Source organism: Homo sapiens, chromosome 5, assembly GCF_000001405.40.
Source record: "Homo sapiens chromosome 5, GRCh38.p14 Primary Assembly".
Classification (NCBI taxonomy): Eukaryota; Metazoa; Chordata; class Mammalia; order Primates; family Hominidae; genus Homo; species Homo sapiens.
The window spans coordinates 140,297,240-140,309,551 of record NC_000005.10 but is presented as its reverse complement, the minus strand read 5'-3'; the positions used below and the strand labels follow the sequence as shown (position 1 = coordinate 140,309,551).

The 12,312-nt window shown below is 41.3% G+C and overlaps 1 protein-coding gene across 2 annotated transcripts in view, besides 4 other annotated features; it reads left to right on the top strand.

The window, feature by feature from the left end:
* Nucleotides 6,342-6,546: a silencer, noted in NCBI's record as "fragment chr5:139682591-139682795 (GRCh37/hg19 assembly coordinates)". NCBI's record gives its function as "represses an EF-1alpha promoter that drives an FKBP-Casp9 reporter gene in an ReSE screen in K562 erythroleukemia cells {active_cell/tissue: K562}" and the evidence as "EXISTENCE:reporter gene assay evidence [ECO:0000049][PMID:32094911]".
* Nucleotides 6,342-6,714: a biological region, named in NCBI's record as "ReSE screen-validated silencer GRCh37_chr5:139682591-139682795".
* Nucleotides 6,435-6,714: an enhancer, noted in NCBI's record as "active region_23265". NCBI's record gives its function as "activates an Ori minimal core promoter by ATAC-STARR-seq in GM12878 lymphoblastoid cells {active_cell/tissue: GM12878}" and the evidence as "EXISTENCE:reporter gene assay evidence [ECO:0000049][PMID:35858748]".
* Nucleotides 6,451-12,312, top strand: part of PFDN1 (prefoldin subunit 1) — a 58,067-nt gene continuing 52,205 nt past the window's right edge. For both annotated transcript variants that reach the window (NM_002622.5, XM_005268465.5), the window contains exons 1-2: nt 6,451-6,511; nt 8,970-9,136. In NM_002622.5, coding sequence (NP_002613.2) covers nt 6,479-6,511; nt 8,970-9,136 — 200 coding nt within the window. In that variant the 5' untranslated portion in view covers nt 6,451-6,478. The remainder of the gene's footprint in view (nt 6,512-8,969; nt 9,137-12,312) is intronic.
* Nucleotides 10,106-10,622: an enhancer, noted in NCBI's record as "H3K27ac hESC enhancer chr5:139678515-139679031 (GRCh37/hg19 assembly coordinates)". NCBI's record gives its function as "activates a minimal SCP1, AML or CMV promoter by ChIP-STARR-seq in naive H9 embryonic stem cells {active_cell/tissue: H9 hESC(naive)}" and the evidence as "EXISTENCE:reporter gene assay evidence [ECO:0000049][PMID:30033119]".

Genomic DNA, 12,312 nt, shown 5'->3' with positions numbered 1-12,312 from the left:
ACCTTACCCTCCATGGAATGGATGCTCCATGAGGTCAGGGAGTTTGTCTGTTATTATTGCTATATCTCAAGGGCCTAGAACAGTGCCTAGCAGATATTTGATAAATCTTTGTTGACTGAATACAAAAATATATTGAGCATTATTAAGTAGATCTGAGGGATAATGGGAGATCACTATTTTAGAGTCCACAACCGTGGACTGGCTGAGCTTCAGGAGTACATCCTTGTAATAGTGAAGACTTGAGTGTGAAGTTTGTTTTTTTCTATCACAATAATAAAGCAAGCACATCATGTTTATTTTTGGGGCAAGTATCCAAGGACTGCAAGCCCTTCAGAGCTTTCAAACACAGTCTCTTCCTGTCATTTTATTTTTATTTATTTTTTTTTAAATTTTGGAGACAGAGTCTTGCTCTGTTGCCCAAGTTAGAGTATAGTGGTGCAATCATAGCTCAATGTAACCTTGAACTCCTGGGCTCAAGTGATTTTCATACCTCAGCTTTTTGAGTAGCTAGGTGCATACCACCATGCCTGGCTAATATTTCATTTTATTTTATTTTTGAGATGGAGTCTCACTCTGTCGCCCAGGCTAAAGTGCAGTGGTGCAATCTCGGCTCACTGCAAACTCCACCTCCCGGGTTCAAGTGATTCTCCTGCCTCAGCCTCCTGAGTAGCTGGGATTACAGGCGTGCACCACCATGCCCAGCTAATTTTTGTATTTTTAGTACAGACGGGATTTCACCATGTTAGTCAGGCTGGTCTCGAACTCCTGACCTTGTGATCCACCTGCCTTGGCCTCCCAAAGTGCTGGGATTACAGGCATGAGCCAACGCGCCTGGCCAATTTTCTATTTTTATTTCTGTAGAGATGTGTTCTCACTATGTAGTGAGCTATGATTGATCACAACACTGCACTCCAAGCTGGACAACAGAGCAACACCCCGTGTCTTTAAAAATAGGATTATGGTTACTGAAATAAAATACTAATGGATGCTTTAAATGGTAAACGAGACATAGTTGAAAAGAAAATTAGTAAGTTGGTGGAGAGTGTTGTAGAAACCTAAGGTTTAGCACAGGGAAATAGTAAGTGTAAAATAGAGGTTGAGAGATGTGGATACTTCCACATACTTCTAATGAGAGTTCTACAAGGAGAAATGAGAGCCAATGTTGCATGAGATACTGGTTGAACATTTTCTAGAACTGACATAAATCCTTAGATTAAAGAAGCATACTATGGTCCAGGCATGGTGGCTAATGCCTATAATCCCAGCACTTTGGGAAGATGAGGCAGGTGGATTGCTTGAAGCCAGGAGTTCGAGACCAGCTGGGCAACAGAGTGAGACACCCCCCTCCATCTCTATTATAAAAATTAAAAAGAAAAAAAGAAAAAAGAAGAAGCATACTATGTACCAAGTAAGAAAGATTTTTAGAATATACATTTTAAGATAAAGGTTTAGGTGAATTTTTAGGTATATATTTTTAATCTACAAACACACACACAAACACAAACACACACATCAAAGTAGAAGGGCAAAACCCAAAGACAAAGTGAATCTTAAAATATACCAGAGAAAAGACAGATTTCTAACAAAGAAATGAAAAGCAGCCTGACAGAGGACTTTTTATCAGTATATAAAATCAGAAAACTATGGAAAAATGCCTTCAATAATAATTGTCAACCTATAGTTCTATATATAGCTAAGCTGTCATTCAAAAATAAGGGTGAACCTTTTAGATATGCATTTATTTATTTAAAAAAATATACATATTTTTTGGCCAGGCGTGGTGGCTCACGCCTGTAATCCCAGCACTTTGGGAGGCCGAGGCAGGCGGATCACGAGGTCAGGAGATTGAGACCATCTTGGCTAACACGGTGAAACCCCGTCTCTACTAAAAATACAAAAAATTAGCTGGGCACGGTGGCGGGCGCCTGTAGTCCCAGCTACTTGGGAGGCTGAGGCAGGAGAATGGCATGAACCCGGGAGGTGGAGCTTGCAGTGAGCCGAGATAGCACCACTGCAGTCCAGCCTGGGTGAAAGAGTGAGACTCCGTCTCAAAAAAAAAAAAAACAAAAAACATTTTTTTTGAGACAGGGTGTTGCTCTGTCACCCTGGCTAGAGTGCAGTGGCAGATCATAGCTCACTGCAACCTTGAACTCCTGGGCTCAAGCTATTCTCTGCCTCAGCCTCTCAAGTAGCTGGGACTACAGAGGTGTGCCACACCTGGATAATTTTTAAAAATTTTTGTAGCAATGGGGTCTTACTATGTTGTCCAGGCTGGTCTTGTTCAACTCCTGGCCTCAAGCAATGCTTCTGCCTTGGCCTCCTAAAGTGCTGGGATTCCAGGCATGAGCCACCACACCTGGCCTGATGTACATTTTTAGATATACACAGAGCATTTTCTAGGGCTGCCACAACAAAGTACCACAAACTGGGTGGCTTAAAACAACACAAATTTATTGTCTCAGTTCTGGGGGCTAGAAGTCCAAAATCAAGGTGTTGGCAAAGCCATGTTTTATCTGAAACCCGAAAGAGAAGAATCCTTCTTGCCTTTTCCAGTTTCTGATAGCCCCAGATGGTTTTTTTGAGACAGAGTTTTGCTCTTGTTGCCCAGGCTGGAGTGCAATGGCACAATCTCGGCTCACTGCAACCTCCACCGCCCAGGTTCAAGCAATTCTCCTGCCTCAGCCTCCTGGGTAGCTGGGATTACAGGCATGCACCACTACGCCCCGCTAATTTTGTATTTTTGGTAGAGACGGGGCTTCTCCATGTTGGTCAGGCTGGTCTTGAACTCCCGACCTCAGGTGATCTGCCTGCCTTGGCCTCCCAAAGTGCTGGGATTACAGGCGTGAGCCACCACGCCTGGCCTGATAGCCCCAGGTTTGATGTGGCTTTCTCCTTATGTCTGTTCACATAGTCCTCCTTGTGTGTGTGTCTGTATGTGTCCAAAGTTCCCCTTTTTATAAAGACATCAGTCATATTGCATTAGGGCCCACTCTAATAACCTCATTTAACTTGATTACCTCTGTAAAAACTCCATTTCCTTCCTTCCTTCCTTCCTTCCTTTCTCCCTTTCTTTTTATTTTTTGAGACATGGCTTTGCTCTGTCACCCAGGTGGGAGTGCAGTGGTAGATCATAGCTTACTGGAGCCTCAATTTCCTGGGCTCAAGCAATGCACCTATTGCAGCCTCCCAAGTAACTGGGAATATAGATAACTGCCACCACACTCGGTTAATTTTTTTTATTTTTTGTAGAGATGAGGTCTCGCCCTATTGTCCAGGCTGGTCTCAAACTCATGGGCTCAAAGAATCCTCCCGCCTCAGTCTCCCAAACTGCTAGGATTATAGGTATGAGCCACCACGCCTGTCCCAAAACCCTACTTTCAAATAGGGTCACATTCTGAGGTACTGGGAGTTAGGACTTCAACATATCTTTTGTGGGGGGCACAATTCAACCTGTAAAACAAAGATGAAGAGAATTTACTTATCAGACATTCTTACTAAAAGAACCTACTGAAGGATTTCCTTTATCATGAAGGAAATTAGGCTGGGTGCAGTGGCTCATGCCTGTAATCCCAGCACTTTGAGAGGCTGAGGCAGGTGGATCACCTGGGGTCAGGAGTTCAAGACCAGCCTGGCCAACATGGTGAAACCCCATCTTTACAAGAAATACGAAAAGTAGCCAGGTGGTGACATGCACCTGTAATCCAAGCTACTAGGGAGGCTGAGGCAGGAGAATTGCTGGAACCCGGGAGGTGGAGGCTGAAGTGAGCTGAGATTGAACCACTGCACTCTAGCCTGGGTGACAGAATGAGACCATGTCTCAAAAAAGAAAAAAAAAAAAAAAGGAAATTAAACTCATGAGGAAGAAGTAGTATACAAATACACAAAGAGAAACAATGACCAAACAAACAATGCAGAGAAGACTCTTGCCTAAGATCATATTACCCTTAAGTAGTATAATCAGTATTTGTACCCAGGTTGTCTGACAGCTTAGCCCAGGCTCTTAACTTTTACAGTCCATACATCTCTATGAGGACTCTTTCAAAAGTCTCATGAGGTAATGTACAGGACAGTATTTCAGACTTTTTTTGAATTTCAATATTCAATCACTATTTTATTTTATTTTATTTTATTTTATTTTTTGAGACAAGGTCTCACTCTGTCTTTCAGGCTGGAGTGCAATGACACAATTGATCCCCACTCACTGCAGCCTTGGCCTCCAGGCCTCACACAATTCTCCTGCCTCAGCCTCCTGAGTAGCTGGGACTACAGGGGCATGCCACCATGCCTGGCTAATCAGTCAGTATTTATTGATCATCTGTAATGAGAATCTAAGAAGGTCCCAGAGAATCAAAATATCAGATCCTTTTTACTCTTTCTCAAATTGGGGAGGAATGAGTCTTCTTTTTTTTTTCCAGAATAATTTATTCACATCCAGTATCCATTTTGTATTTTTTTCCCGTGATGCACTGTGACAGGTGTTCTAGGTACAAGAGGTGGAAGAACCATTATTCCATAGTTCTTGATTTCAAGGAGCTTACAGTCTAAGAAAAATGTTTTCTAAAAAAAGGTAGACAGTGTTATATGCCTTGAGAGAGAAATAGATGTTGTGAGGGGAGTTCAGAGGAGAGATTATCTTTGCTCTGTGTGATGGGGGATGTAGTGCCCATTTGCTGGACTTTGAAAGACAAACAGGACGGCGATTAACACCAGTGATTTATTGAGTATCTACTTGTGTGCATGGAGCTATGTTTGGAGCTTTTTATCCTGATCTCATTTATTTCTCACAATAACCCTGTTAGGTCAATATGGTCACTCTCAAACATGAGAAGACTGAAGCTCATTAAAAATAGGTGGCAGATGCTGGACGTGGTGGCTTGCCTGTAATCCCAGCCCTTTGGGAGGCCGAGGCAGGCGGATCACTTGAGGCTGGGAGTTGGAGACCAGCCTGGGCAACACGGTGAAACCCGTCTCTACCAAAACTACAAAAATTAGCCGGGCGTGGTGGCAGGCGCCTGTAATCCCAGCTACTCGGGAGGCTGAGGCAGGAGAATCACTTGATCCTGGGAGGCAGAGGTTGCAGTGAGCCGAGATCGTGCCACTGCATTCCAGCCTGGGTGACAGAGCGAGACCCTGGCTCAAAAAAAAAAAAAAAAAAAAAATGTGGCCGGGTGCGGTGGCTCAAGCCTTTAATATCAAAGCACTACAGCACTTTGGGCGACCAAGGCGAGCGGATTGTTTGAGCTCAGGAGTTTGAGACCAGCTTGGGCAACAAGGTGAAAACCCGTCTGTACAAAAATATAAAAATTAGCTGAGTGTGGGTGGCGCGCGCCTGTAGTCCCAGCGCTACTCACGAGGCTGAGGTGGGAGGATCGCTTGAGCGCGGGAGGTAGAGGCTGGAGTGAGTCGTGATTGCACCATTGCACTCGAGCCTGGGTGACAGAGCAAGATCCTGTCTCAAGAAACAAACAAACGTACAAAAAAAAAAAAAAACCCCACAAAATATCCAAGTGACTTGCTTAAAGTCACACAATTAGTAAATGGAACCAGACATAGGCTAAAGGCAGACCAAGCCTTGAATCTAGATTAGGCTGGTTCCAAATTCCCTGCCCTTTCATCTCCCTAACAGTTTGTTTTCTTTCTCTCTTTCTTTCTTTTTTTAAAAAATAAAATAAATTTCCTAATTATTTATGTAGCACTTTCTCTTAGCATAACAGTTTTTAGAGTAGGTTAACTTTTTTTTCCATTTCCAAAAGTCAATTATTATCTATTCTGGTTCAAATGCCAGGTCCTTTTATGGCAGAGATTCTCAAAAAAGTGATCCGCGGAGGAGTTGCACCATTAGGTCACTGGGGTAGTCTGCAAAAGTGCAAATTTCCAGACCCCATTCTCAAAGATTCTGAGTACGTTTGAGATGAGACCCAGAGAACCTGCATTTTTTTGTTTTTAAACAAACGTATTCAGCCTCTCTTGAGAACCACTGTGCCTAGAATGTCTTTGGGAAGCTTTTGGAAGTAATAAGTTCGTTTTGGAAAGAACACTCCAGACAAGCTTTCCAATAGTCTTTCCCAAACTGTCATGCCTGAGGTTCTGGACTTACTCTTACTCATTCCTGAGAGCACAGCGACTAGCTGAAGGACTGATCGACTGATGAGGGTTTGACCTCATCTACATACATCTCAATTTAGCAGCACATATTAAGCTAGCTGGCAAACTGCTTAAAGCCACATGGGAAATCTGCGCGTTGGGCTATGTCTGGAAGATACGGAGGAGCAAGCCAGACCTGACCGGTCAGGTAGTGAAGACACGGAATCCGAAACCCAAATATTTCAGGAGTCAATTCTCAGAGAAAGATAAGAAGCCCGGTTAGTCCAACTCATGCGCAGGCGCAGAAGAAAGACCGGCGCACAAAGTAAGACGCGCCCTTCCCCACCCTATTTCAGTCCAACTCCCACTGCGCAGGCGCTTACAGTGCACCAAGATGGCCGCCCCCGTGGATCTAGAGCTGAAGAAGGTAAAAGAGGGTCTTTGGCAGGCGGAGGTCTTCTTTTTGGAGGCTGAGGGGACTATAGACAAGAATATCAAGTGAGGCACGAGCCTTGCAGAAGGAAGGAGGGTCCAGTGGACTAGGGAATGGTTTCCCAGAGTCCTAAGGCCTCACTGGGTCTCCATAAACGGGGTGGGGGGCGAGCGGCTCTTGCTGGGTAGGAGCCGGTTGGTCTGGGTCGGGTAAGTCTGCGGGCCTGTCTCGGGCTTGTCCAGTCTTTCTGAGCTCCAGAGACATTTCGTTGCGTTTGGAGGCTTCAGGGACTCACTTTCATAGTAAGAACTAAAGAGAGCATTTCAAATGGGGGTCCCTTCGGACCCCTTGCCTGAGCTGTGGCATCCGTAATTCTGCCTCATTTGCTTTGAAAAACTCCAAGTCCAACCTTTGTTTTTAGGCCATTTATTCGGTTCTGTACCTTGAAAGTTGCAATATCTACAGTTCGGAAAACCAAGCATTGTAGCAGCAATGTTCATTTCAGGATTTTGCCCCCCCTCCACTTCTTTTGAAGGACTCGTCAAACAAAACAAAACAAAACCTCCTTCTTTTGAAGGAATTGTCAAAAACAAAACAAAACCAGTAAAGTTTTCCAAATAAAACCGGTATCGGAAGGAATTGGGTTTCCTGTTTTCCTCAGTTGCTTATAAATGTGTTGTTATTCAGATTTTTGCTATCTAAGAATGATCAGCATTCTAACACCACTAATGACCCCAAACCAGTATGCTTTGTGCGGTGGGGTGGATTGGAAAGGACCCTAGAATTTATCTATTTTAAATCTACTTTTCTGGAAAAGGAACCAGTGCCAGAAAAGTCTGTCAGAAGTTGGGACTAGAATCCAGTATTCTCTGCCTTATCTCACACTTTTTTGACCACTATTTTGAGTTCTTCAGATGAGCAACATCTTAGTTAAGACTGCCTGTGGTCAACTTGTGTAAAAGAAATAGGACAGCCGAAATAGCTGTTGCTTCTAACAAATGAAGCTTTTGTTAGTGTTGTGAGGATATTATGTGTTTGTGTCTTGCTTTTGTTCTTCTTGTCTTGAATCTTGTAAATTTAGCTCTTAGGTGGAGTCTCTAATCTTTAACAGTATACTAGCTCATCTTTAATGGTATACTAGCTTCCTTAGCAAGCTGTATAGAGCAGTCAGATGATACCTGGAATTTTACATTTCAAAACAAAATTGTGCATTCTAAAAATTTACCTTTTCTTCTGTTAAAAGTACCGATTTAAATCAGGGTTTAGTGAATGGATTTGCCTCCCGGTACTTTTGAATTTATTGCTACATTTGAAACTTGCGGGCGGTGAATGCAAACTAAGAAAATGATTACAAACTTAAAATGAATAATTTTGATAACCAATTAATTAAAAAACTTGTTTAAAGGTTTTATCTTCTAATGTTTTTACAGGGTCCTTTTTTTGGGTGGAGACAAATAGGAAATTTCAGGCCCCTCCCCTTCCCCAAAGTAAATCTTTCAAAACCTTACTAGTAGGTGAAAACAAGGTCACAATAAAAATTATGTAGTAGCCTTTGCTGTGCATTGCAGTCACAGATGTTATTAAGGCACAAATTTAACAGCATGTGAAAGTCATTCCAGGCACTTCAACAAAAGTATCCAAGAACTGTTTATCTTCCAGTTAAGTAAGTGTACGCAAGGGTCAAATTTGGCCTGGTATCTGTGGATGAAGATCATGATGCAATTCTTTTGCCAGTGCTTTGCATTTTTTCTCACTCTCTTTCTTGGTCTTCCTCTTAAAAATGTTCATATTATGAATATTACTATAGACAGTGGAATGGAAAGATTGCTGAACTAAGGGGTTAGAAGAAATGGATTTAAATAACACCTGCCTTCCCCCCAGTAGTTGTTCAACCTTGTGCAAGCCACTTTTATCTCTTAACTCATTTGGTTACTTAATTTGTAAATTGTGGATGATGAGACTGCCAATGCTAACTCATGGAATTACTGAGAGGCATAAATGAGATATTTATTATATTTCCTCATTAATATTCTTATATTAATATTCCCATGTTAATATTTCAAACTAATGTGAGAAAGTGCTTTGAAACCTAATTGTGCAATACAAATGTAGTGAGTTATTACTTTTATGGTTCTTGTTTTGAATCTCTGGATTTCATCCTTGACTATTGCATTTATTTCTTTTACTACTCCTTGAGTACTTGCTACTTAATATGGTTATTACTTAATATGCATTTGATTTGCTTCACACTGATTGTATCTTCTGATGATTGTAAATTCAGTATTTAGTATGGTGACTTGATTGTTTACAGTTATGTTGACTTTTATTGATGTTTGGTAAATTTCACAGCTTTGTCTCTGGCTAGCATATTTTGTTTTAATATATTTGGATTTGAGGTAAATGTTTCCTGTAAAATGTTTTACCTACTAAATCATGGACTTGTTTTTATTAGGCCTTCACAGAGCTTCAAGCCAAAGTTATTGACACTCAACAGAAGGTGAAGCTCGCAGACATACAGATTGAACAGCTAAACAGAACGAAAAAGCATGCACATCTTACAGATACAGAGATCATGACTTTGGTAGATGAGACTAACATGTATGAAGGTGTAGGAAGAATGTAAGTAAAATGTGTCCTTAATGGAGTTATTTTGGGAGTGCTTTTGTCCGAGTTAAATAGAATTTGTTCATCTTAAAACTTGGGTTAGGCCAGGAGTGGTGGCTCATGCCTGTAATCCTGGCACTTTGGGAGGTCGAGGCGAGTGGATCACTTGAGGGCAGCCTGTTGGCCAGTATGGTGGAACCCTGTATCTACCACAAATACAAAGATTAGCTGAGCATGGTGGCACTTGCCTGTAGTCTTGGCTACTTGGGAGGCTGAGGCAGGAGAGTCGCTTGAACCCCGGAGGTGGAGGTTGCAGTGAGCCGAAATCATGCCACTGCACTCCAGCCTGGGCAGCAGAGCTAGACTCTGTCTCAAAACAAAAGAAACTTTGGTTTAAAGTAAGTATCTTTTTCTTTTTGAGACGGAGTTTTCGCTATATCGCCCAGGCTGGAGTGCAATGGCCCGATCTTGGCTCACTGCAATCTCCGTCTCCTGGGTTCAAGCGATTCCCCTGCTTCAGCCTCCTGAGTGACTGGGATTACGGGCGCTTGCCACCACGCCCTGCTAATTTTTGTGTTTTTAGTAGAGACGGGGTTTTACCATATTTGCCAGGATGGTCTGGAACTCCTGACCTCCTGATCCGCCCACCTCAGCCTCCCAAAGTGCTGGATTACAGATATGAGTCACCACACCCGGCAGGTTAAAGTATCTTAGAAATAACTTTAAAGATTATCTAATTAAATGCTTTCTTTTTTTAAAATGAGGAGCTGAACTTCAGGTAGATTAATTAAAGTGTTTAAGTTTAGACTTTAAAGTACATTTTTTTTTTTTTTTTGAGACAGAGTCTCGCTCTGTTGCCAGGCTAGAGTGCAGTGGTGTGATTCTGGCTCACTGCAACCTCCGCCTCTTGGGTTCAAACAATTCTGCCTCAGCCTCCTGAGTAGCTGGGACTACAGGCGCATGCTACCATGCCCGGCTAATTTTTGTATTTTTAGTAGAAATGGGGTTTTACCGTGTTGGCCAGGATGGTCTCAATCTCTCCTCTTGATCCGCCCGCCTTGGCCTCCCACAGTGCTGGGATTACAGGCGTGAGCCACCGCCCCTGGCCTCAAAGTACATTTCTTAAGTGCTTACTTTCCTGTTCTGTCTATGATTAGGTACTTAAGTGTAAGTTCAGTAATAAAAATGATTTGTCATGGAAAATGTTTATAGCAATATTATATTGTATGTGAAGAAGATTTATTTAAGTAGGTGCAGTTTTAACCTCCTCTTCCCTGCTTAATTTATTAGGAGTGATACAAATCATAAATCTTTCAGATGTCTGATCAGTGTTGTAAAATAAAAATAAAAATTCAATTGTCATTTAAATACACTCATTCTGGCCAGGCATAGTGGCTCATGCCTGTAATCTCAGCACTGCAGGAGGCCAAGGTGGGTGGATCCCCTGAGGTTAGGGGTTTGAGACCAGCCTGGCCAACATGGTGAAACCCCATCTCTACTAAAAATACAAAAATTAGCGAGGCATGGTGGCGCACACCTGTAATCCCAGTTACGAGACTGAGGCAGGAGAACTGCTCGAACCCAGGAGGTGGAGGTTGCAGTGAGCCGAGATTGCGCCATTACACTCCAGCCTGGGCAACAAGAGTGAAACTCTGCCTCAAAAAAAAAAAAAGTAAAAAATACACTCATTCTAAGTGTCATGCATTGTTCTAATAGGAGGACAACTCACATGTGAGAAATCTAGTAAATTATTTTACTTTTGTTTGTTCTAATTAATACATTATTAACTTCGTACATTTCACTTTTTTTTCTTTTAAAAGCATATTGCCCTTGTGAGAGAGAATAGGTCTGCTTCATATTCTGTAAGCAGAAAAAAAGGAATGGAAAAGCCCTTAAGTACAGGTCACATTCCATTACAGTGAGCTAAAAGGAGAAGACTGATTTTTTTTTTTTTTAAGTTGGGGGGAGGTACAGGAGGAGGGTTTTTCTGGAATTTGGTCTTTGAGTATTACTTAGTAAGTAGACCATTACTTCAGATTTGGAGATCTTTTAGTTAGAATGGAATTTGACCTCAGTCTCGGGATGACTTGTTTTGTGATTGATTTGAAGAAAGAATAACATGTGTAAAATTTAATAATGACTTTGGAATGACATCATGAGAAGTAGACCTGCTCATCACTGACTAATCCATATCTTTATGGTTCAGAATTAGATTATGTTAAATTGTTCATCTGATTTGCTTTCTCAGAATGAATAATGTAGCACAAGTAAATTTTATGTCCAAGCTCATATATTTCATTTTAGTTTAAGAGGATAAGGATCCCAATTTGAGAGTTTGTTACTGGGACACAAAAGAATTGGAACAAAGTAGAACCCTTGAATATGTGTCTGTGTAGTATGAAATGCATTGTTGGCATTCACTACAGGATAATTTTATCCTTAATGTGAATATCCTTAGGTCTTAAAACAGTAATGCCAGCTTTATTAACATGTTGTACTTGGATTTCACATCACTGCGCTAGCCTTTGTTTGCAATAGCTAAAGAATTCCTTTTTCAAAATAGAAAAAACGTTTTACTCCCTTTGGGCTTTTGAGCTACAGTGAAGTTTTAATTTTTAATTAGAATAGTTTCATTTATTAAACGTTCTGCAGAAGTGTTAGGAGAGTTGTTTTTTGTACATATTTTCCAAAGTGCTACAGATAAGTTGTTTTCCATACCAAGAATTTTGGAGTTTAAAGGCTAGGATATGAATTAATAAATAGTAGAATGGTATTATTTCCAGAAGGTTTATTTCATATAAATTACGTTTCTTAAAAGAAGTGTGGAGTTTTAAATGTTTGGATAAAGTTGAGCTTCTACATGATTTCAGACTTCTGTTTTAAATTTGACTTTAGTGCTGTCTGCATCTCACCGGGAGTATGAGTTTGACCCTGTATTGTAGGGGCATGTAAGGTGAATAGCGTTTGTTGTTTGGCTAGCGTATTAGTGCCCTGAGAGGAAGAAAAGACTTGCTGAGTATTAGTCTGGTCATGAGGATGTTCTCTTTCTTGATGCTAAACCTGAGATATCTATTTCTGAATTTATAGTCGAGTAATTTTGGGTATCATTGTGATTCACTTCTTTAATTCTAGTCTTTACCTTACTTTGTTTTTTCTTTTCCATTTTGAGTGTTATTTGGGAATTCTGACTA